This window comes from Homo sapiens, chromosome 11, assembly GCF_000001405.40.
Source record: "Homo sapiens chromosome 11, GRCh38.p14 Primary Assembly".
NCBI classification, from domain to species: Eukaryota; Metazoa; Chordata; class Mammalia; order Primates; family Hominidae; genus Homo; species Homo sapiens.
Window position 1 is genome coordinate 83,071,691 of NC_000011.10, and position 25,932 is coordinate 83,097,622.

The following is a 25,932-nucleotide window of genomic DNA, read 5'->3' on the forward strand; positions in this document are numbered from 1 at the left end:
CTGGTTTGGGATTTTTCTCCCCACCCCAGGCATAAACAGAAATGGATGTGCGAATGAGTCACGCACGCAAGGGAAGGTCTGCGATGTCCTGAGTCCAAGGGCTGGAGTCAGTCCCTGCCCTGGTGCTGCTGCTACACTTAGCTCAGCTGGAGCGAGCGGCAATCGCAAGCCCAGCAGCAGCAGGGGGTGGAGAGACCGTAGCACAATGAATGCAGTGGGGCTTTTGCAATGACATCATCCCTCTGTCCAAACGTCCCCAATAGCCATGCTCGGGAGCGGTGCTTTCTGGGAACTGTAGTCTTCTTACGTCCTGAAGGGATACCCAGGCAATCCCCGAAACTACAATGCCCAAAATGCTCCAAGTGGGACGCGCCCAGAGTGAAGGAGCAAAGGGGACTCGGCCGCCATGTTAGGAGTACTGGGACGATTCCGCGGAGCCGGGCAGAGGTTTTAGGGGTGCGCAGGAGTCAAGTGGTGGTTCAGTGGGGACGGTGAGGTGGAGGACGATCTGGTCGGATAGCCGCGGGCACGAACCTGGGAACCAGAGGGTGGAGGCCATGCTGGGGACTGATGTAGGGCGGGACCGACTGGAAGCGGCATCCAGAGGCCCAGTGAGCCTCGGTCTCAGCTCCTGAAGGGGTTGCATGGGGCCCTACGCTTCCTTCTCCATTTTTTAGCTAAGAGATTGAGAGAGTCGGTTTACTTTTGGGCTTGGAGTATCATTTAGATCTGTTAACAGTACAGTTGAGAGAGTTGGTGTCTTTTGTTGAGGTGCGAGGACCCGAGGCGGCGACCCTCGCCTTTATTCGGAGAAGCCCACTTCCACCCACAGAGTTGGGGTAGTCCTCCGAAATGCATTTTTGTTTTGCCGTTTGTTTTCCAACCCCCTTTCACTCTCCCCAAAGCTTCAGATTCACTGATTTTTCATACAGGAATGATTAACAAAGGCGTCCGAAGAAATCGTTGTTGGAAGGTGACCAAGGTGGAAAGAGACGTTGCTTTGGCCCTGCAAGTAAGAAGAGAGAGGGAATAGCCTGAAGGAGTAACACTAAATTTAAAATGACACTTTTTTACCAACCAGCGAAAGCAGATGTTCAAAGGGGATATTGGCCAGGTGCGGTCGCTCACGCCTTTAATCCCAGCACTTTGGGGGCAGACGCGGGGAGATAGCGTGATTCTAGGAGTTCAACCCCAGCCTGGGCAACATGCGGAGACCCCGTACCGTCTCTACAAAAACATTAAACAAAAAAATTAGCTGGGCATGGTGGTGTACCCCTGTAGTTGCAGCTACACTAGAGGCTGAGGTGGGAGGATCGCTTGAGCCCGGGATGTTGAGGCTGCAGTGAGCCTCGATCCTACCACTGTGCTCCAGCCTGGGCGACAGCAAGCCCGTGTCTCAGAAAAGGCGGGAGGGGTGGGATATTATTGATGATAGGCCTTCTGACGTCTGGCAATAGATTCCAGAGTAACATCGGTCATGGATAAATTTTTTTTTTAACTAAGTGACTGAAACCAAAGTTAATTGTCTTTTGAGTGATTTTGCACAGTATCTCAAAATGAACTGTACTTTTTTTCTTGTGTCACTGAAACAGTGCTGTGTGTTCTTTTTCAGAGTCTGTCACACTAAGATGAGAAATGTCCTTTCTTCCTGAAGGTGTCTGATGTGTAAAAATATGATATACTTTGTGCTGTTTCCTCCCTTCCCTTTTGCATATTATTCTGAAACAACATTAACTAGTTACTTTGCGTCATTGAAGGTATGCACTTCCCCTCTATGTTAGGAGTGAATAAAATTAAAAATAGATCCTTATAACAAAGAAAGGCAGATAGAATGATTAAAAATGACCAAAACATGTTAGAAACAGTCTCTCAGGTGTATGCAGATGGTAATTACAAAAATACTTTTTCAAAAAATGATCTTCTGTGTCATGTTTCTGGGAACAAGTCAAGATGAATGAGTTTGATTTTTAAGCAGAAGTAGTATGTGTTGGTGTCATCCATGAATACAACAATGAAAAAGGCTCAAAGTTGTTGTTATTCAGAAACTTCTCTAAGTAATGGTGGTAAGTACAGGAAAAGGAGCAATGTCTACCATTTTCTTTCTAACCTTCGATTTAACTATTGTAATGTTGTAAGCTTAACAGAGACTTACACTTAGGCTTAATTTCAAGCTCTTCAATCATTTTTCCCGGTTGGTGATTCAGGTGTATTCTCATGTCTTATGTAAACTTATCATGAGTGTTGTTGATTTATAATATATTTCTTTATGTAAGCCATAGCCTTGTCAGTTTGAGTTATATGGAAGACAAATTGTAGGGAAAAAGAGCAACAGATTACTCAGAAACCTTCTGTGTGAGCTGGGCATAGTAGTGCATGCCAGTAGGCTTAGCTACTTGGGAGGCTGAGGCAGGAGGATCACTTGATCCCATTAGTTTGAGGCTGCAGTGAGCTATGATTGTGTCACTGTACTCCAATCTGGACAACAGTGAGACTATGTCTGTTTTTAAAAAAGAAAGAAAGCTTGTGTTTGAGAAGTGATACCTCTAGAATACAGTGATTTCTATAATTTGTCATGTGTTTGGGTAGTTTGAAGTTTTTCTATCCTTGTATCTAATGGACATCTGACCATAAAGATGAAAAAATCCTGCACTCATTATAAATTTTATTTATAAAATTGATATTTGAGGAGTTGGGGAGGCCAGCTTCTGAAAAAATAACAGTGTCCCATAGAAACACCACAACTTAGGAAAATATTGTTAAAGTGGAATTAGGAATATCTAGAGGAGGTAAAGCTTTTCATCTCTCAAAAAAGAATTAGGGCCAGGCACAGTGGCTGACACCTGTAATCCTAGCACTTTGGGAGGCCGAGATGGGCACATCACTTGGGGCCAGGAGTTCAAGACCAGCCTGGCCAACATGGCGAAACCCCATCTCCAAGAAATAGAAAAGTTAGCCAGGTGTGGTGGCGTGCGCCTGTAATACCAGCTACTAGGGTGGCTGAGGCAGGAGAATCGCTTGAACTGGGGAGGTGGAGGTGGCAGTGAGCAGAGATTGAGCCACTGTACTCCAGCCTGGGCAACAGCAAGACCCTATCTCAAAAAAATAATAAAGAGAATTAGGACATGGATTTGTATTAAAATTATAGGTAGCTCATTTAAGAGTATGAAGCCAATTGCTGTTAGAGCAAGGGTTTTTTTCAGTAGAGGTGTCAGGATAACCTATACAGCTCTAAAAGTATATGGCTGTTACCTTCCCATCCCTGTTGAAATCTCCAGGGTTAGAACCAAGTATTGTGTTTTTAAAACTATAGGTGAGTCTACAAGAGTTGGGTGGAGTAGTCCTCTACATCCTGTGTTTGTATTTTTGCAGTAAGTCACACAATAACAAAAGCTTTGAGAAAGATTTTAGGTTTATTGCTAATTATACCCATGAATGAATTCTGAAAATGTGTAGATAAGGAATTTACCTGGTGAACGGTTTACACATGGCAATTGTGGGAGGGAGAGGGGAGTGAGAGGAGATGAGATCAGTTTTAGCTTTAAGAGGACCAACCGGGCCAAGCACGGTGGCTCACGCCTGTAATCCCAGCACTTTGGGGCCGAGGTGGGTGGATCACGAGGTCAGCAGTTCAAGACCAGCCTGACCAACATGGTGAAACCCCGTCTCTACTAAACATACAAAAAATTAACTGAGTGTGGTGGCGGGTGCCTGTAATCCCAGCGACTTGGGAGGCTGAGGCAGGAGAATCGCTTGAAACTGGAAGGCGGAGGTTGCAGTGATCCGAGATTGTGCTAATGCACTCTAGCCCGGGCAATAACAGCAAAACTCCCGTTTAAAAAAAAAAAAAAAAAAGGGACCAACCATGATATCCTGACTAACCTGTATATTTCTTAGAATGAGGGTTTAGCCTAATATTAAGAAAGTCTAATGTTAAGAGACACCTAGTAAGAGCTCAACGCTGTGGTAAAATTATGATAGTTATGCAGAAACTTAAAAGCTGAAGTATCCAGAGACAATATATTGTTTAGAATTTTCTGAAAATAAAAATTTTCTTGCCCTAAGTCTTGAATTTTTAAGTTATTGATGTTAATATTTATGATCTTTGAACAAATGATATTATAATAGAGTATCTTTTAGGTCACAGAGACCCCTTTTTAGAGCTGAGAAATCTTACAAATTCCTCAGCCCATGTTTTACAGATAAGGAAATGGGCATGCACACAGTGAAATTAAAAATTGCTAGTGGTCACACTGTACATTGATGGCAAAGGCAGGGCAGAATTAGAATCCAATTATCTTACCTGTTCAGTGTCTTTAATGATACAGCAAGCTCACCACTGTTTCTCTTTACTCTTTAAACAGTGGATTTTTTTTGTCATGATTTTGATTTCTTGTATAATGCAGTTCAATACTTGTTTAATTTTAATGTTGGACTCTCAATTTTTAAGACAGTAGTACACATGAAATGTGCTTTATATTTTATGTTTCAACAAGAAAATACACATTTTCCTTTTAATAGAGGAGCTTAAGTTCCTAATTTAAATAATTGAGTATGAGCTTCAGATACTTCAGAGTGGTATTAATAAACTTTGCTTTTCCAAATGGTTTCAGATAAGCATTTAATATTCAAAGCTTCCTCTTTACAGCTTAGGAAGTGGTCTGGTTAAGTGACTTGAGTTCATACAGGAATATATCGGTATGTTCCTAATTCCCATCAAGTGTACCATTATGTAATCATATAATCTTGCTAACAGATCTAACAGATTACTTTTTTTTTTTTTTTTTTTTTGAGACAGAGCCTTGCTCTGTCGCCCAGGCTGGAGTGCAGTGGCGCGATCTCTACTCACTGTAACCTCCGCCTCCCAGGTTCAAGCAATTCTTCTGCCTCGGCCTCCCAAGTAGCTGGGACTACAGGCAGGCACTACCACACCCGGCTAATTTTTGTATGTTTAGTAGAGACGGGGTTTCACCATGTTGGCCAGGCTGGTCTGGAACTCTTGACCTCAAGTGATCCGTCTGCCTCTGCCTCCCAAAGTGCTGGGATTATAGGAGTGAGCCACTATGCCTGTCCTCTAGGGAAAATCTTTAATTCATTCTGGACAATGAGAAAACTTTTATTTTTACTTTTAGTTAACAATACTCAGGAAAATAAAAAGTGTGCTTTTTAATCTTAGTAACCCAATTTGAGTTTGAAACAAATTTACATAATTTTAGCTGCTTAATATGCTGCTGAAGATAAATGCAGTAAATATCCCAAGGTCAAGATTTGAAATCCAAATGTCCATAGTAATGATTAACAGGAAAAGAGAGTCCTCTGTTAACTTTATTTCTCAATTTTTTACAGGTTTGGATAATTAAGGGAGCACTAGAAAACTTTTTTTTTTTTTTTTGAGATGGAGTCTGTTGCCCAGGCTGGAGTACAGTGGTACGGTCTCGACTCACTGCAATCTCCGCTCCTGGGTTCAAGTGATTTCTCTTGCCTCAGTCTCCTGACTAGCTGGGATTTACAGGCGCATGCCACCATGCCCAGCTAATTTTTGTATTTTTATTAGAGACGGGTTTCATCATGTTGGTCAGGCTGGTCTCAAACTCCTGACCTCGTGATCCACCCGCCTCGGCCTCCCAAAGTGCTGGGATTACAGGTGTGAGCCACCGTGCCCAGCCGAAAATGTTTCTTTGCAAGGATAAATATATGAAGATAAACTTGCCGAGCGTAAATATGTTCATGAATATAGCCACTTAAGGAAATTCAAACATGCAGAGATGTTCAGCTGTATGCAGTTATGTATTCATGAAGTATTCATGTATTCATGAAGCCTTATTTGATGTAGAATCTGAGGGTGCTGCCTATACATAAACTTGCTTAAAGGTTAAAACTTAAGGAATGTTCATCAAAGTCACTTTCTTACACCTAACTCCTGATTTCATGAATATAACACATAGGTGCTTATCAAACTGAATACCTTGGAGATGAGCTGCTCCAGCACCAGAAGATAAAATTCAGTAACTGTAATCCTTGAGGTACCTAAGTGATACATTTTTTTTAAGACTGAGCCAAAATAAAACAGCTTTCCTCCTTCCCTACCCTCTCCGACCAAACTTTTAGCCATTTTATTTATTTATTTATTTGAGATGGGGTCTAGCCATGTGGAGTGCAGTGGCTATTCACAAGCATGATCATAGCAAATGACAGCCACAGACTCCTGGGTTCGAGCAATCCTGCCTCAGCCACTCAAGTAACTAGGACTACAGGCGTATACTGGGGCTTCTAGCCATTTATATGGTATTAAGTGACAGCTTCTATAGTTACTTGGTACTTGTCCCTGTAAAACTGCACAGTGTGTATTCTCTTGGCTCAATTATTAGCATATTCTGCCATTTCCTTGTGAATGTTTTGTATTTTATATAGGAAAACTTAAGTTTTTAAATATCCTGAAATAACTGAAGAATTTTGTTTTTGCCTTTAAGTGGTAATGTATAAAGTATACTATTGCAGAGATACTTACAGAGTGCTTTCATTGCAATTAAAATACTGCAGCTAACTAGCATGTTCCATATGTGTAATCTAAATGACATACTGGTCATGTGCTATTTCTATGGAATACTAACAGTAGTATGGTACATTTATGCAGTCTCAACAGTTTAAAGTGTTATTTTGGTGATAAACTGTTTACATTTATTTGTTTTTATATTTGGCAGTCTAAATGCAAGAGTCTCCATTTCAGCTCTTTACTCTGCATATCTTTAATGTTGGGCATTATGCCTCTTTCTTGAGTTTCAGTCCTATGACTGTTCCATTTTCAGTATTCATGTTTATGTGTCTTTCTAAAATTGTTTTGCTTCTGTTTCTTGCTGCTCTTGAGACAATTTATGGGCAAATTTTGTTACTTTTCAACTGGCCGTGTATTTCCCTGTGAAGAGTTGCTGGATTGTCTCATTTTCCAGATAAACTGAATTAATGTAGTAGTGAGGAGAAGCCAGATTTCAGAGGTTTGACAAGTGAACAAATGGGAATGAGAAAAGAAGTAGGTACTTAAACTTTTAAGAAGTTTGGCTCTGAAAAAGGCAAGAAATAATGGGTTAGAGAGGGCAGGATTGTAAGGATTTAAGATAGGAGAAGAGGCATAAGCATATTTAAATTTCCCTACTTAAGGGCCAAAATCATACTGTACCTCAGTCTGAACTTTTTAAAGGAATTCAAGGACACAAAATTCTGCCCTGCCCTGAAATCCAGTCAGGAGGAAGGGAGAAGAGCTCTGAAGTACTTTTGTAATTTTCTTCTACATAATAATTGATTTTTGTTTGATTATTTTTCTTTCCTATAGCTCCTGTTTGCCAGGTTTTTCATAGCTGCCTATTTAACCAAACTTGTACTCCCAAGAATAGTGCATATTTATGATTCTTAATTCCAAAAACACATGGCAATGATAATGTCTCTGCTTCTTTTGAGAAATTAACTTGGTTCTGAAAGATGGTGTTTGCTTTTCACACCTGTATCATTAATACTTCCTTGCCAAACCTAACTAGGATCCTCACCACCACTGTTAGAGAAAACTGATGCTCAGTTGAACCAGAATGTTAAATGTGAACAGGATTTGTCTGTGTTGTTGCCCAGCTATGTTTATCCATACACATTACCTGGAGGAAGAGAAATCTGAGATAATTGAGTTGATTAGATTACTTACATGAAGATGGTTTAATTGTATCAATACAGAAAAATGCACAAGGAAAGAAACTGACACCTTAAGGCAACAAAGCCCTCCATAAAAAGTAACCGAATTTTGAGAGTTACGAACTAATGTCCATTACCTGAAGTCCTTCTCATTCCATTACCCAGTAACATAAATCAAATTCAGTAAATAAGCTGCTTTATGTCTTGAGAAATTTAACTGGCAGAATAAATGGAAAGAAGTCAGTAAAAAGGGAGCAGTTGAACAAGCATGGTGTCTCACACCAATAACCCCAGCACTTTGGGAGGCCGAGGCAGGTGAATCACTTGAGGTCAGAAGTTCAAGACCAACCTGGCCAACATGGTGAAAACCCATCTCTACTAAAAATGCAAAAATTAGCTGGGCTTGGTGGCAGGTGCTTGTAATCCCAGCTACTCAGGAGGCTGAGGCAGGAGAGTCACTTAAAACCCAGGAGGCAGAGGCAGTGAGCTGAGATCGTGCCACTGTACCCCATCCTGGGCAACAGGACGAGGCTCCATCTCAGGGAAAAAAAAAAAGAAAAAGCTGAGCATGGCGGCATGTGCCTGTAGTCTTAGCTACTCAGGAGGCTGAGGCAGGAGGATCACTTGAGCCCAGGAGTCGTAGGTTGCAGTGGTGCCATTGTGTTCCAGCCTGGGTAAGAGTAAGGCCCTGTTTCAGTAAAAAGAAGGGAGTAACCAAGACAGGTAGGGATTCAGTATAATAAAAGTCAAAAGTAGTTGTTTATTACTAGAGCCTGGCACTGTAACCTGGTATGTCCAAATGTGATTTAATTTGCTCTCAAGATGTGCACCAGAAGAAATAACCCGAGGCATTTCAAAGAAAAAACAAAATGTGACCTGCTAGTTCTGTTACTCTGCCACAAGTTAACACATTTTGAACTTAAGTGCAGAGTCCCATACATCCAGTGTGACTCCCCAAATCTCAAAAATTTAGGCTAAAACCTAATTTTGTGTCCAAGCCAGTGCCTGCTTGTTCCTGCTGAATTTAAAACTTTGGGTCCAGCAATCTTCTATCGCTGGAGGGAGGGAGAGGTATGAAAATAATGTTTAATGGTAATTGTTTATTGTCATGGGCCCATATTATACCCAGATTTAGAGAGCTATTTGACACACCTGTAACCTAATGTTTATTTTAACTTAATATCTGCTCAGTCAGGTAAGAGATGCAACTTCACAGAGGTCCATTTAACGTGCCTAAACCTAAGTAGAAACACAAAAGCTATGTATAGTCCCTTGTTTGAGATAACACTAAATTTTTAGAGAATAGCTTGGTACTGTGGTAGACAGAGTTCACTTAAAATGCATTTAACAATTTACAGATAACTGGAAAGTAATTCATTCATCTTAGAACCCTGGTAGGGACATTCTATTAAAATATTTGTGTACTAGTTAAAGTCAAAATAGAAATACAGCCTATCACACGGTATTTATACTATGCATTATGATTAATAAAGCCACCTAAGGTCGTTACTCCATGATCATGGGAAGTTGTTAGTCATTAAGAGTTCGGGTTTAGCAACAAAAATCTTGCGTTTGAATCTAAACACATTACATGATTTTAAGCATGTTCATCATTCTGAGATTAAATAAAAATTAAGGAAATATATGAAAAATGCTTAATAAGTACCCAAAAGGTAATATGGTGTAGCAACTTAGAATGTAGACTTCAGAGCCAGTCAGCTAGGATTAAAATGACACTTCGGCCAATCACTGTTGACTATAAGCAAGTTATTTAACTCTGCCTCAGTTTTGTCTGTGAAGTAGGGATAAAATCTTCCTCGCTAGGTTGCTATAAGAATTAAATGGATATATTAAGTACTATCATGTGAGATCACTTTATTTGAGGCTAAAAAAATTTTTTTTAACTAGGATTCACTGAAAATACATCTATAAAAAAGCCACTCTTTATCATGAGAAGTATGATTTTCTGTACCTTAGGTGTTATAAAGCAATATCCCCTCAGTTTTAACTTTACCAAAATACCTGTCTTAGTAAATGATACTATATATACCAAATATTGCATATGTGTATATAAACTTCAACTGTCTACTTCTATCACTGACAGTTTAAAAATTGAGATAAAGTAAGTATTATCTGAGTAATATAACCATTTTCTATTTATTTATTTATTTAGAAACAGTCTCACTCTGTCACCCAGGCTGGAGTGCAATGGCTCGGTCTCAGCTCACTGCAACCTCCGCCTCCTGGATTCAGGCAGTTCCCCCACCCCACCCTCCCGAGTAGCAGAGACGGGGTTTCACTGTGTTGGCCAGGCTGGTCTCGAACTCCTGACCTTGTGGTCTGCCCGCCTCGGCCCCCCAAAGTGCTGGGATTACAGGCGTGAGCCACCGCACCCAGCCAATCTAACCATTTTCAAGATTTGATCTGCAAATACCTGAAGTAAGTACAAGCACTGTGGCCCAGTTAAAGAGTGTTAGAACTGTAAGAAGTCCAAAGGCATAGCTAAGAATTGCTTTAGAGTCAGTTGTGGGTTCTGAATTCTTGCTCTGATAGTTAGCAACTATGTCTACTTTGGCAAATTTAGGTTTTGAAGCCTTCCATATCTTTAAAAGGAGGTAACATTTAACAGAGCACCAAATACAAGGTTTTCTGTAATATTAGTTCCATAGCATGGTCTGCAAACTTCCAACATCAGAATCTCCTGGGATATATGCTAAATGCAGATTCTGGTTTCCCAACCAGAATATACTGCTTAAAAATCTGAGGGTTAGTTCTAGGAATCTGCATTTTTTTCTATACAATGTATGTATTAGGGTTCCCTGGAGGGACAGAACTAATAGGAGATACATATATATACACACATATATTTATTAAGTTTATTGAGAACTTACACGATCACAAGGTCCCACAGTAGGCTGGCTGCAAGCTTGAGGAAAAGAGAGAGCCAGAGTCTGAGTCTGAAAACTGAAGAACTTGGGGGTCCAGTGTCTGAGGGCAGGAAGCATCCAGCGTGGGAGAAGGATGGAAGCTGGGAGGCTAGGCCAGTCTCTCCTCTTCACGTTTTTCTGCGTGCTTATATTCTACCTATGCTGGTAGCTGATTAGACTGTGCCCACCAGATTGAGAGTGGGTGGGCCTTCCCCAGCCCACTAACTCAAATGTTAATCTCATTTGGCAACACCCTTACAGACAAACCCAGGATCAGTATTTTGCATCCTTCAATCAAGTTGACACTTAGTATTAACCATCACAATGTATGATTTTTAAAATCTGCATTTTTAATAAGCTACTAGTTTATTTTTCCACCTAATCCAATTCCTAATTTTATTTGAAAGCACCAAGGTAAATAGTTCCTAAATCACTGTTATTTAAATTGTGCTCCAGTACCCCTTATTCTTGCTGCAATTCCAAGACAGAGATAACAAAAATTTTTTTTTCAATGTTTTGTTTTTTTGAGACAGAGTCTCGCTGTGTCCCCCAGGCTGGAGTGCAGTGGCTCGATCTCGGCTCACTGCAAGCTCCGCCTCCCGGGTTCACGCCGTTCTCCTGCCTCAGCCTCCTGAGTAGCTGGGATTACAGGCATGTGCCACCACACCCTGCTAATTTTTTGTATTTTTTTTTTTAGTAGAGACGGGGTGCATGCTGCATGCTCCGCCTCCCGGGCTCTCGCCATTCTCCTGCCTCAGCCTCCGGAGTAGCTGGGACTACAGGCGCCTGCCACCACGCCCGGCTAATTTTTTGTATTTTTACTGGAGACGGGTTTTCACTGTGTTAGACGGGATAGTATTGATCTCCTGACCTCGTGAGCCACCGCGCCCGGCCTGCCAAAATTTTTAATGTTTGCATGTACATAGTTACTCAACAAAGAGGCCAGGTGTGGTGGCTCACGCCTATAATGCCAACACTTTGGGAGGGTTGCCTGAGCCCAGGAGTTCGAGACCAGCCTGGGCAACATTGTAAGAGCCTGTCTCTTAAAAATATATATTTTGGGGAGCCAGGTGTGGCACCTCACGCCTGTAATCCCAACACTGGGAGGCTGAGGTGAGTGGATTGCTTGAGCTCAGGAGTTCGAGATCAGCCTGGGCAACATGGCGAAACCCTGTCTCTACCAAAAAAAAAAAAAAAAAAAAAAGTAGAGGCATCGTGGTGTGTGCCTGTGGTCCTGGCTACTGGGAAGTCTGAAGTGGGAGGATCGCTTGAGCCTAGGAGGTGGAGGTTGGAGTACGCCAAGATCACACCACTGCATTCCAGCCTTGGTGTCAGAGTTAGACCCTGTCTCAAAAAATATATTTTAAAATGATATTAAGTAAAGAATATAGTCCAGCCACATGAGCAAGTATTGCTTATCTAGAAAGACGTATAATAAAGTTCTTTTGGGGAGATAAACTATGATCCATTCTATGTTTCATGTAAATCAGGGGCAGCCAATCTTCTGGCTTCCTTGGGCCACATTGGAAGAATTATCTTGGGCCACACATAAAATACACTAACACTAATGATAGCTGATGAGTTTTTAAAAAGAATCACAAAAGCAATGTTTTAGCAAAGTTTATGAATTTGTGTTGGGCTGCATTCAAAGCTGTCCTGGGCCGCAAGGTGGAAAAAACTTGATCTAAAGTATTTGATTTTTTTAGAAAAGTTTTTGAATGGCCAGGTGTGGTGGCTCACACCTGTAATCCCAGCACTTTGGGAGGCCGAGGCAGGCGGATCACGAGATCAGGAGATCGAGACCATCCTGGCCAACATGCTGAAACTCCATCTCTACTAAAATACAAAAACTTAGCCAGGCATGCTGGCATGCGCTTGTAGTCCCAGCTACTCGGGAGGCTGAGGCAGGGGAATCACTTGAACCCAGGAGGCGGAGGTTGCAGTACAGTGAGCCAAGATCGCGCCACTGTACTCCAGCCTGGTGACAGAGCAAGACTGTCTCAAAAAAAAAAAAAAGGAAGCTTTTGAATAAGAAGCAACTCTACAGTACTCTATTGTAGACAACCAAAGTATTAATATTTGGGGGGCACAATTTCAACCAACTTTAAATTATTTCATTCTGGAAGTATGTGTTGAGTAAATATGAAGTATAAGGCCCCTAGAGGTACAGATGGCTATGGCCGTCTAAACCATTTTACTCTTAACTTTTAGTGTCATGGACCTCTTTGTCAATCTAGTGAAGTCTATGGACCGCTTTTTTTTAAAAAAGCCTTTAAACATATAAAGTACAGTACATTGAATTACAAAAGGATCCAAGAATATTGAAATAGTTACCAAAAAAATTTGATATAGAAATATATGTGGTTTATTAATGAATAAGATCTAGCAGTGGCCTTACTATAATTTCAACACAGTAGCGTGGTGAGCATAAATATTTCAACTTATCTGCAACAATTGTAATGTGATATGGAAATAATCAGTTTAATTGTGACAGTCACATTTACTGCTAACTACTGTGATTGACTGGCTATGTTTACATTTTATTAGAAGTTATTGAAAGTAGATGCCAGGCATGGTGGCTCATGCCTGTAATCCTAGCACTTTGGGAGGCCAAAGTGGGCAGATCATTTGAGCCCACGAGTTCGAGACCAGCCTGGCCAACATGATGAAGCCCTGTCTCTACTAAAAATAAAAAAAAAAATTAGCCTGGCATGGTGGCCTGCTGTAGTCCCAGCTACTCACAAGGCTGAGGCAGAAGAATCACTTGAACCAGGGAGGCAAAGATTGCTGTGAGCTGAGATCACGCCACTGCACTCCAGCCTGGGCAACAGAGCCCGACCCTGTCTCAAAATAAAAGAGAGATGTAATGGACCCCTTTAATTAATCTATAAACTCCTAATTAAGAACCCTGGTTAAAATTTTTTAATAGGAGCTTGTCTTCTTCACTGTTGTATCCAAAGCCTGACTGAAATCTGTAGACACCTAAGCAGTGAAAAATTTGATGCCTTAACCTATATAATTTAAAATCAAAATATTTACACTATAAGGTGAATTTAAGGAAGATCTCATTTTTCTCATGGTGAAGACTAAGATACTTTTTCAAAATTACTAAATTTTCATTTGTTTCATCAGGGATGAGGTTGGGGGAGGATCTAGCTCCTTTATTAATACCTGAATATATAGGTTTTAATATCCAAGCTTGACTATATCCACTACACTTGGTACACAACAGAACAAATGAATGAACATTTTCATGCCTGTAATCCTAGCACTTTGAGAAGCCAAGGCAGGAGGATTGCTTAAGCCCAGGAGCTTGTGACCAGCTTGGACAACATAGGGAGACCTTATCTCGACAATAAATTTAAAAATTAGCTGGTTGTGGTGGCACGTGCTGGTAGTCCTAGCTACTGGGGAGGCTAAGGTGAGAGGATCGCTTGAGCCCAAGAGGTTGAGGCTGCAGTGAGCCATGATCATGCCACTGCACTCCAACTTGGGCTACAGAGCAAGACCTTGTCTCTCAACTAAAAATAAAAAATAAAATTCACGATACTCCCCAAAAGCTGATGATAACATGTAAGAAGCGACTTGATTTTACCTTCTAACTCTCCCTCCCTTTTAGCACAATGCTGCAAAATGACTGGCTCATAAACCACTAAGCTGCCTTGGCAGCCACTTGTTATTGTTACCAGTAGGTAATATGCTGTTTTCTTCTGCTTGGCACATAAGCAGTAGGCATGAAATAATTGCTTAATGGATAAGTAAGTTGTTAAATTATAAAACTCTGATGGATTGCTTAGTCCTTTAACAATTTACACCCCCCTCCCACTTATCCAATTCTTTTGTGACAGATTTTGCACTAGCAAAGTGCACTGTTTCAGACAATCAAGGAAATAAAACATTTCTTGATGAAATCCTACCTCGCCTCAACAGGAAACTGAATTGGAGTCCTCAATTCTCAGTACATCAGAACTAGTGTGTGAAAGGATCAGGAGAGGACCATAGTATTGGAGAATAAAACATTATGTATTGATGGTTGAGCTTTATGTCATCGTGTAGTAAATGCTATGACCATAAAGCCATTACTGTTAACACTTAAGTTTATCTTCTGAAAGAAGCCTATGAAATATCTCCAGAAAGACTAGGGGATTTTCTTCTGTTTGTTTGTTTGTTTGTTTGAGATGGAGTTTGCTCTGTTGCTCAGGCTGGAGTACAGTGGTGCGATCTCGGCTCACTGCAACCTCTGCCTCCCAGGTTCAAGTCATTCTCCTGCCTCAGCCTCTGGAGTAGCCAGGACTACGCACTGCGCCACCACACCCAGCTAATTTTGTATTTTTGGTGCAGACAGGGTTTCCCCATGTTGGCCAGGCTGGTCTTGAACTCCTGGCCTCAAGTGATCCGCCCACCTCGGCCCAAAGTGCTGGCCACCGCGCCCAGTCAGACTTGTTTTTTAGTGAAATAAATTGTTTTCCTTTAGGACCTTATTCTTTATGATAACAGATTCCAAGAATATGCAGTCTTGTCAATGGCTGTTTCATCCTCAGTTTCTTTAAAAATAAAATACAATTAGAACATTTTTAGATATGCTATATCTATCCAATCTATTTTCCTGTCACCCAGTAAGGTTTTCTATCATCAGCACAGGTCTATGAAAGGACAGTAAAGGGTCTCCTGTTACATACCCTAGCACTAATGTTTGTAATAGAATGTTAAGATAAGTTGTTTCATGTAATCGGACTACATTCAGTCTTTCTCTACCCTCTGTCCTCTATTTACCCACCTATGCATGTGGCCTACTAATTATATTGACTGTACATGACCAGCAAGTTGTAAGTTCTTTTAAAAGCAGGAGCTCAACCATATTTGTATTCACATTTCCTTCTGCTTAAAACAGGGCTCTTGTTTCTTCAGTAAATATTCATTCGGTATCCACTAGGTGTCAGATAATATACAAGGTAGGTTCTAGGGATTCCAAGATAAATAAACACAGATATGCCAATATGAGTCTGACAGTTTTGGCGGGGAGAGGTGGAAAATAGATCTGCAAGCCAAAAAAGCTACAGTAGAATAATATAAATATTGTAATGGCAATAAAATACCAGAACTATTAATTTTACATTTAGTAATCATTCAGTATCAATTAAATGGGTAAAATGGATATGTTGGCATGAATGACATATAACTGAAAAAACACTAAGAACTGTATAGAAACTGAATTAGACATATGAGTAATATTAGTAGGAAGGGGAGAGAATATTTGATTCCAGGTAGGCTACCAAGCAGGATGTTTTTTCAGCACAGCCTTGGAATAAAATCTGTAACCTTTGAAAACAATCACATTTTTGTTCTTATGCAATCTTTGTTTTTAAATGTATTTATTGTTTTGGCTCTAGTCCCTGAATGTTAAAATTTTAGTGTCAGTGTTAATTCTCACTTATCTTCTCCAGACCTTACTCCCTAATTTTCTCATTTTCATTTGCCCCAATAAGTGCCAACCTTACCTTGAATAGAATAGTGGATTTATCAGCTTACAAGGACTAAAAAGTCGTCATTTCCAAAAACATCTGTCCAATAAGTCTGCCTCAGTGACTACATTTCTAGCATTACAATGTCATTCTTAGTACACTGATTTGATCTTTACAAATTACATAAATGTATAAAATTGTCGCATGTACCCTAAATTATATACATCTATTATGTATGTATCAATAAAAAAATAATTTTCTGTGCTTTTTCTCCTGTTAAAAAGAATTCTTTTCTTTTTGAGACAGGGCCTGGCTCTGTCACCCAGGCTGGAGTGCAGTGGTGCAATCTTGGCTCACTGCAGCCCCTGCCTCCCAGGCTGAAGTGATCCTCCCACCTCAGCCTCCTGAGTAGTTGGGACTACAGATGGGTACCACCATGCCTGGCTAAGTTTTTGTAGAGACAGGGTTTTGCCATGTTGTCCAGGCTGGTCTCAAACTCCTGAGCTCCAGCAGTCTTCCTGGCTTGGCTTCCCAAAGCGCTGGGATTACAGGTGTGAGCCACCACACCCAGCTGATTCTTTAGAAGACCAGTATTGCATTGTGATTGCCTCTGGGCAGGAAAACTAAGGGGCATCAGTAGACTATGCAATTACTTTCTTCCTCTTTAAAAAAGTATTGTTAATTTTTAAATTTACATATTTTGGTATACAATTCTATGAGTTTTGACAAATGCAAAGAATCATATAACCACCGCCATAATTGAGATACTAAACAATTCTATCACCTCAAAAAAAATCCTCTTGAGCTGTCTCATTTATAATTTTTGTGATTAAAAATGGTTATTTTTCAAAAAGTAACGTTTGGGCCAGTGCGCCTGGAGTGCACCAGTAGTCCCAGCTACTAGGGAGGCTGAGGCAGGAGAATTGCTTGAACCCGGGAGGTGGCGATTGCAATCAGCTGAGATCACACCACTGCACTCCACCCTGTGAGTGGGCTACAGAGTGACACTCTGTCTAAAAACAAAAACAAAAAAACACTTTAAATGTTTCATATAGTTATTCCTTATTCAAAAAGTATGCCTTTTTGGGTTAAGACAGTGCCATTTCAAATAGCCTTGTAGAAATATAAGCAAGGAAATGCTAAATTATACCATTATTGATCATTAGTACCTTAGCTTGTAGTTTAAACTGTTGAAGAGAATTAGGACTCCACCTGGCATTGTGGCATAAGCCAGTAGTCCCAGCTACCCAGGAGGCTGAGGCCTGAGCTCAGGAGTTCAAGACTAGACTGAGCACATAGCGAGATCTTGTCTCAAAAAATGAAAGAAAAAGAATTAGGACTCAGAAAAGGTAAAGGGTGTGTGTGTTTGATTAGATAGAGGATGGGATTGAAGGCTTAAGGAGGAGATTAGGGCCTGAGATGGAACAATGCGCATGGAAGGATAGATATGGGTAGTGTGTTCTGAGTAATATAAGAGACCTAGATTCTCAAAGATAGAGGGCACCAAAGAGATGAGTCCTGTAGAGGGGTGACCTTCATGTAAAAAATGATCTATCTTAATTGGGAGCTACAGACCTGGGATTCTGTACTGAACTTATACAGAATAAGTAATTTACTCTTCAAAAGTCGCTTCCCCAGCTGGGCGCAGTGGCTCATGGCTGTAATCCCAACACTTTGGAAGGCTGAGGCAGGTGGATCACCTGAGGTGAAACCCCGTCTCTACTAAAAATAAAAAAAAAGTAGCCAGGCATGGTGGTGGGTGCCTGTAATCCCGGCTACTCGGGAGGCTGAGGCAGGAGAATTGCTCGAAACCAAGAGGCAGAGGTCGCAGTGAGCTGAGATGGTGCCATTGCACTCCAGCCTGGGCGACAAATGCAAAAACTGCATCTAAAGAAAAAAAAAAAAAGTCACTACGCCTTTCTGGGCCTCAATTTCATAATCTGTAAAATAGTAAGGTTGGACTGAGTATATACCAAGGTCCATTTCAGAGTTCTCCAGCTAGAAGCAAAACCCTTGTGTGTATGTGTTAGTTTTTTTCCCCTAAGGTTTTGTCCTCTAGTTTTAACTAGAGAGACACATTTGGGATATTAATAACCGAATTCTAGCAAGCATTATGATCTCTTCAGATTTCATGTAGTTTGATGTCAGAAGCTGCATAGCAAAGTTAAGCCTGATCTGAATTGGCTTCAAGTGGATAGAGCTGTATGACCCTCAGTCTTCTCATGTATAGAATGACTTATATACTCTAAACTTCCTTGTAGTTTTCATATTTCATGACTATGAAACCTGTGAAAACTTACCAGTGTTTTTTCTATTCATACTTCCTTTGAGTCTGCAGCTGCTGTTCTTCTGATTTGATTTTTTTGTTGTTTATTTTTATTAGCCACTATTCATTCAGTACCTTTTATATGTCAAAACGTTTGATATTTAACCTACGTTATTTAAGGGCTTTTGTACTGCTGCTGTACTTTATAGGTGCATAGATATGGTAAAATCACACCATGCCTCCTGCTCTGACTCTGGATAACATATTCCTACAGCAGGATCTCATTTCAATAAAAATTAAAAGAAACACTAGAGAGAGGAAGAAGGGGAGAAGATAAATGTGGCTTTAAATTGATAAGTGAAAGGCAAGGAACTAACATTTGAGGATCTACTATGTGTTAGACACTTTATAACATGGATCTTCTTTAGATCATTGAGATAAGCAGGTAGAAAGACATCACAAAGGGAGTCTGCTTGTATTGATAGCAAGAAGAAAAAAATGACTTCATGCCATAAATCACTGGAATTATTCAGAATTTTTGTTTTGCATGTTATCCTCCATTATGAGGACAAAGACAGCATAATGTCTCTATGTAGTAAGTGTTTGGTGAATGTTTATTGAATAAGTAGGGATTTTTATCATGCATATAGTAGTGTTTCTTAATGTTTTGGATCCATGGACTTATAAAAATTTTATAAAAGCTATGGCTACATCCAGGATGTTACCTCCCTCCCCTGCCACACACAAAAGGAAACAGCCAAGTCCCTCCCCTCACTCTAACCATTCCCACATCTATATTTGTGTAAAACCCATGATTTTAAACTGTTTGCAGCCCCTCTGTAATCCATTCACATGACCCAAGAACTCAGCCCTGGAAACATCTCTGGGTATCCAGGTAGACTAAAAGCATAGTTCCATTAATTTATAGTGCTATATGGTTCTGCCATGCTTTATTGGTCCTTTATAGACTTGAGAAAATCACACCATGCCTCTTGACCATTAACAAATGGTCATGTTCAGTCTTCCTTTTTATGAGTGGAAATTCCATCCAATTTGCTTTTAGGTTCATTAATATGTACTACAACCAAAAGATCAGCAGCATTATATACTTTATCTTTTTTAGTCTTTTGAAGTACAAATTATGCGATTTTACAGATAAATTATCTCATGGGTAGCATATGTCTGGCTTTCTAGGTGGAATGATTCCTATTTCTTTTTGTACCTCTCCCCATTCAGAACTCACTTTGAGGCCAAGCGTGGTTGCTCAGGCCTGTAATCCCAGCACTTTGGGAGGCCGAGGCAGGTGGATCACCTGAGGTCAGGAGTTGGAGACCAGCCTGGCCAACACGACAAACCCCGTCTCTACTAAAAATACAAAAATTAGCCTGGCATGGTGGCACACACCTGTAATTCCAGCTGCTCGGGAGGCTGAAGCATGAGAATCACTTGAACCTGGGAGGCAGAGGTTGCAGTGAGCCAAGGTTGCAGTGGATCAAGATCACACCACTGCACTCCAGCCTGGGCAATAGAGTGAGACTCTGTCTCAAGAAGAAGAAAAAGAAAAAAAACTCACTTTAAACTCTGCTAGACCATTGCCCTTGTATGTGAAATTTTATCTGGATAGAAGAAGATGAGGAAAAAAATTTTCTTGTCTTTTAGTGGAGGAGAATGACATGTAAAACAAGTATTCTTTAAAAATTCCAAATATGATATGAGAACTACCCCATAAAGTTGTGAAGGTCACATTGGTGAAAGGAAAACTAAGTGCTGTGTAAATTACAAAGTTGTCTAAGTATCCACCTGGTCCTTACCTTGCTATAGAATCTTTTTTTTTTTTAGACGGAGTCTAGCTCTGTCGCCCAGGCTGGAGTGCAGTGGCGCAAGCTCCGCTTACTGCAAGCTCCGCCTCCTGGGTTCATGCCATTCTCCTGCCTCAACCGCCCGAGTAGCTGGGATTACAGGTGCCCACCACCACGCCCAGCTAATTTTTTTTTTTTTTTTGTATTTTTAGTAGAGACGGGGTTTTCCCATGTTAGCCAGGATGGTCTTGATCTCCTGACCTCGTGATCTGCCCACCTCGGCCTCCCAAGGTGCTGGGATTACAGGTGTGAGCCACCACGCCCAGCCTACCTTGCTATAGAATCTTTAGGCCTAATATAGTCTAGCCAGAACAGCTATTTGGATGCTTGCCTAATCTTCAATACTGGTTTCCCTTTTATACATGACTGCAAAACTGACTCTCACCTAGGTTTGTGATGTTAGAAACTCCAGTTGTTTACTATTATTATTAAAGTGGGAAACGGAGTTCGTTGATCAAATGGATTAATGTTTTGAGTACTTACTATACACCAGGGGCTCTTAAATTTTTACATAAACTTTCTGGATGGAGAGTGATAGAATCTCCATTGTTCACTTGCCACAAGCCACACCATTTGTAGCTAACATTTGAATGCTTACTATGAGCAAAGGCACTGTTCCAAGGGCATTACATGCACATCATTCATATTTCTCATTTAATCTTTATAACAACTCCTTAAAATACTGGTAGTATTCTTGTTCCCTAATTTGTCAATAAGAAAACTGAAATTTAGAGATTATACAATTTGCCCAGCACTATTGGAAAGCTGGGACTTTGAAACCTGGCTGATTTGACTCCAAAGTCTGCACTCTATTCCAACAGACTGCCAGTGCCTCCAGAATTAATTAGCATTAATATTTTCTGTTGTTTATGATCTAAGTATGGCTGTCCATGGCAGGGAGTTAATGAGGGAGGCATTAATGGGGAAACACTGGACCACTTCTGAGAGATGTGGTGCCCTCCCTCACAAACAGGTTTCTTGTGGTGAAATCAGGTTGGAAGGATAAGAGAGGCTGAAGAAGGTGGAGGTGGTGTAGTTGGGCCTGTTTAGGAACTGATTACATCTGAGCCTCTGGCCCTTTTTCCTGCCAGCTGACTCAGAGCTGGCAGATGGGCCAAAGTCCAGGCAGGTTGATTTCATGGGCTGTATACTTCAAAGGATCTGATTCCTGGTGCTACTAAGCACATTGCTTTTCCGAAGGCACAGTCTTGTGGGGGAGGGAACAGGATGGTCTCCATGAGGTGTTTGTGAAAGCCCTAGGCAATGTTTGCTCTAATCCAAATATATACAGCTTGTTTTGAGTTTGGCAATAAAACACAGAGCCAGCCCTAAGCAGGGCTGAAAACTGAGTATTTAAACCTTAAGTATTCTGCAATACAACAACAGTTAAGTATATGGGTCCTAGAGTCAGATAGAACTGAAATCTAATCTTGACTTCACCACTCAGCTGTAGATAAATTACTAGACCTCAGTTTTCTTGTTCGTGAAATGGGGATTTTAGTTATAGAGTACCTACTTCATATGGTTGTCGTGAGGATTAAACAAAAATGTATACCACAGTACCTGAGATGTAGTAAACACTCTTGAAACATTAGTCATTATTCATTTTTTAAATTTTTCCTTCAAATACTTTCCTATCCAATAGTCATTATTCATTGAAAACTTCTATTTTATAAGACGATCTCAGCACTTAAACAAAATAAATTGATTCATCATGTTTTCACTTAACAGGCATTCAAAAGGCATTTATTATTGTGTTGGGTAGATGGATGGAGAAAATAGCAATAATTTTTGTTGAACACCTAAAATGAGCCAAACTTTTTAAAAAATATTGTCTCATTTTATGCTCACAACAGCTCTATGAAGTATTTTCCTATATTATAGATGAGATCATGGGCCAAGAGAGGATTAGCAACATGCCTAAGATCATATAGTCAGCACTGTCTAATTCTGAAGCCTATGAATAAGGTAGCATTTATCCCCACGGAAGCATGGTATTCAGCAGGCAGGCAGACACATAAACAAGTACAGCTGGCCCATCTAGCCTCACGTTCTGCATCCATGGATTCAACCAAAAATGGATTTAAAATATTGGGGAAAAAACAAATAATAAAACAACTAAAAAATACAAATTTTAAAATATAGTATAACAACTACTTACATAGCTTTTACATTGTATTAGGTATTATAAGTAATGTAGAGATGGTTTAAAGTATACAAGAGAGTCTGGACACAGTGGCTTATGCCTGTAATCCCAGCTTTTTGGGAGGCCAAGGTGGGTGGATCCCTTGAGCCCAGGAGTTTGAGACCAGCCTGAGCAACAAGATGAAACCCTGTCTCTACAAAAAATACAAAAATTAGCCAGATGTGTTGGTGCATGCCTGTGGTCCCAGCTACTCGGGAGAGTGAGGTGGGAGAATCACTTGAGCCTCAGAGATCGAGGCTGCAGTAAGCTGTAATCACGCCACTGCACTCCAGCCTGGGTGACAGAGTAAGACCCTGTCTCAAAAGTAATAATAATAATAAAGTATACAAGAGGATGTCATATGTTATATGCAAATATTATACCTTTTTTTTTTTTTTTTTTTGAGACAGTCTCTTGCTCTGTTGCCCAGGCTGGAGTAGAGTGGTGCTATCATAGCTGACTGTAACCTCGAACTCTTTCCTGAACTTGAGTGATCTTCCTGCTTCAGCCTCCCAAGTAGCTGAGACTACAGGCATGTGCCATCACATCCAGCTAATTTTTAATTTTTAATTTTTTTTGTAGAGATGGGGTCTCACTGTGGTGCCCAGGCTGTTATGCCATTTTATATAAGGGACTTGAACATCTGCAGATTTCAAGGGGAAAGAGTTTGAGGTTACAGTCAGCTATGATAGCACCACTCTACTCCAGCCTGGGCAACAGAGCCAGAGACTGTCTCAAAAAAAAAAAAAAAAAGAGGAGAGTCCTGGAACCAACTCCCCACAGTTATGGAGGAAGGACTGTACCTACAGTCAAAGTGCTGTCGTTGAGTTTTACACTAGGTGCTTGGGAGAACAGAATGGAATAGGTGAACTCTGGGCATGAAGTGAAGGTAGTCCCCTTCACAGGAATAAATGCTAATAATGGGGCTTCAGGTGAGAATGAGGAAGGAAGCCTTTGCTGGTGGAGGAGTTAAGGGAGTTCTTTCTGGGTTTCCCTAAGTCACACTAGAAGAAAAGGGTTACAGGGAGGCCTTTCTGGAATTCCTCAAGTCAATATGACAGCCTCTTAGATCCAGCATTACAACTGCAGCAAATTTTATAGCTGCAAACAAAGAAACTGTCTCCAGAGAGACAGATTATGTTGTTTACTTGAGGCAAAATGGTGGGGGTTCTATATAAATGATATGTCTGCATCCGAATCATCTGTACCTTTTTGGGCTTTAGAACCAAACCTAATAGTAATAATAGCAACCAATTCTTAACTGCATGATCATTAGGTACTAATCACTGCTATGTTCACAGGCTAGAACTCTCAACTGGAGAAAGGTAGAGTTGTTTGTCTAAATCAATAATCTCAAATTAAGTACACTTAATTTGAGCATATACCCCCAATATATGTATATTACTTTATAAGTTATACACATCCACTATTGGGCTAATATAAAATATACATTATGAAATGTAAACAAAAAGTTTGAAGGAATACAATGAAAATGAATAAACTTTTATCTCAGGGAAAATATATACTTAGGTTTCTGTATCTTGTTATTAAGTGGATACAAATTAATACTGTATTTCAAATAGATTTTTTAATAGTTTTGGATGTTTTGAGTCAGCTGGTCAGATTTTGTTAATCATTGTATTTAACTTCATAATGTGACTGATGAAGGGATCATACTAAGTAAAAGTGTCAGTTCTGCCATTTGAGAGTGGGGGATCCTATGTATCATCTTCAATTCACAGGGTTTTCTTTTTCCCAGCAATTTTTTAAAACCAATTATTCACTTTGTAATATTTCATTTTGTTAAAGTTAGATTTTAAAAATCCATAAATCCCCTTTTGAACCACAATATGTCACTAATGCTCAAAGAAAGAAACTCCATTTGTATCTCATCTGATGTGAGCGTCAAATATAGAAACAATGTGGGGATGCCAACCTCAATCCATATGGATGAATAGGGCTTAATTTTCTCATGATAAACCTAAGTAGAAGCTATGAAAATTCTTACCACACTTCAGTGAATTATCTTGTATACCTCTAGAGTGAGCACATTCCACTTTGGAGATCAGTAGTCTCAGCAACAAGACCTGTGGCCATAAAGTGGGAATAAACAATCCAATTTTTAGCAATGCTTGGCCCAGATTCACTTATGAGTGACATGAGAAAGGTACAACATGATATTCCAGGAAATCAGAAGAGCTAAGTATATCTGAACCTTTGAGAGTATGGCCTGTCCATACAAAGGCAGAATCTACATTTGTCAAGTGCCTTCAAGAAACATTCTACCAAGATATGCACCTCCACAAAAGTAAGAAAAAGAGAAAAAAAAGATTTTAAAATTTTATTTTATTTTTTTGAGATGGAGTCTCGCTCTGTCCCCCAGGTTGGAGTGCAGTGGCGCTATCTCAGCTCACTGCAAGCTCCGCCTCCCAGGTTCACTCCATTCTCCTGCCTCAGCCTCCCAAGTAGCTGGGACTACAGGCGCCCACCACCACACCCGGCTATTTTTTTTTTTTTGTATTTTTAGTAGAGACGGGGTTTCACCGTGTTAGCCAGGATGGTCTCAATCTCCTGACCTCGTGATCCACCCACCTTGGCCTCCCAAAGTGCTGGGATTACAGGCGTGAGCCACCGCACCTGGCCTTTAAAATTTTATTTTTAAAAAATCACACACACACAAAATACATTCTACTTTTTAAGAAAATTGACTTAGATTTAATCCCAGCTCTGCTATTTGCTAACCATGCAATTTTGGGAAAGTAACGACCTATTGGAGCCTGTTTCCCATCTCCAAAGTGAGAATGATTAATGCTATACCTACTTCACTGAGAAGAAGAGTGTATCATGGTCATATTGACCCCTCACTATGTGCATAGAGATGCTGAGCTAAACTCTTTACAAGCGTTTATTTAATCCTCAATATACCAGTGACTAGAGGCTAAGCAGTTTACCAAAGCATTTTCCTTTCCCTCCTTAGCACACAGGACTATATTTCCTGGCCTCCTTTGCAGTTAGGTGCAGCCACATTACTGTGTTCTAGCCATTGAAATATGGAAAGAAATGATCAATACTACCTCCAGCCCTGGCCCATAAAACTTTCCTTTCCATTCTTCGTGCTCTCATTCTTCCTTCATCTGCCGGAGGATTCAGCAGAACCATTAGGTGCACAGAGCTCTTCTCTCCTCCCACTACTTCCAACGTGCATTGAACTGTGATGTGAGCCAGAAATAAACTCTTATTGTGTTAAATCATTAAGATGTGAGAATTGTTTGTTGCAAGAGTTAGCATACCCTGACTAATACAGCAAGGTTTGACAAGAACCCAGAAAAGGGAGAGATAAATTGTTTACAGTGTCTGCTAGATAATGGAAAATAAAACGGGCAATAAGCATCATTAACTTAAGGAAGATGAAGATTACCTTCATGAGATAACTTATGAGCAAGTGTCTGTAAAAGTCCTTTGGGTAAAGTGTGAAAAATGTCAAGAATCACAGATTTACACTCTGCTTTCCAAAGCTTTTTGCAGACACCACTGGGGACTCCTCAATGAATGGAGACATGAC

The 25,932-nt window shown here is 40.4% G+C and overlaps 1 protein-coding gene and 2 long non-coding RNA genes across 4 annotated transcripts in view, besides 1 other annotated feature; 1 reads left to right on the plus strand and 2 right to left on the minus strand.

The window, feature by feature from the left end:
• Positions 1-207, minus strand: part of RAB30 (RAB30, member RAS oncogene family) — a 98,765-nt gene extending 98,558 nt beyond the window's left edge. For both annotated transcript variants that reach the window (NM_001286060.2, NM_014488.5), the window contains exon 1: positions 1-207. The gene's annotated coding sequence lies outside the window, so the exon portion shown is untranslated.
• Positions 160-649: an enhancer, noted in NCBI's record as "active region_5345". NCBI's record gives its function as "activates an Ori minimal core promoter by ATAC-STARR-seq in GM12878 lymphoblastoid cells {active_cell/tissue: GM12878}" and the evidence as "EXISTENCE:reporter gene assay evidence [ECO:0000049][PMID:35858748]".
• On the plus strand, positions 376-2,022 carry RAB30-DT (RAB30 divergent transcript). The gene is made up of 3 exons (NR_038903.1): positions 376-456; positions 933-1,114; positions 1,613-2,022. It is a non-coding gene; the product is annotated as an RAB30 divergent transcript (long non-coding RNA).
• Positions 712-25,506, minus strand: LINC02951 (long intergenic non-protein coding RNA 2951). The gene is made up of 3 exons (NR_186233.1): positions 25,445-25,506; positions 24,379-24,457; positions 712-1,006 (listed from the first exon to the last, which is right to left on the minus strand). It is a non-coding gene; the product is annotated as a long intergenic non-protein coding RNA 2951 (long non-coding RNA).
• Between the last annotated feature and the right edge of the window lie 426 nt (positions 25,507-25,932).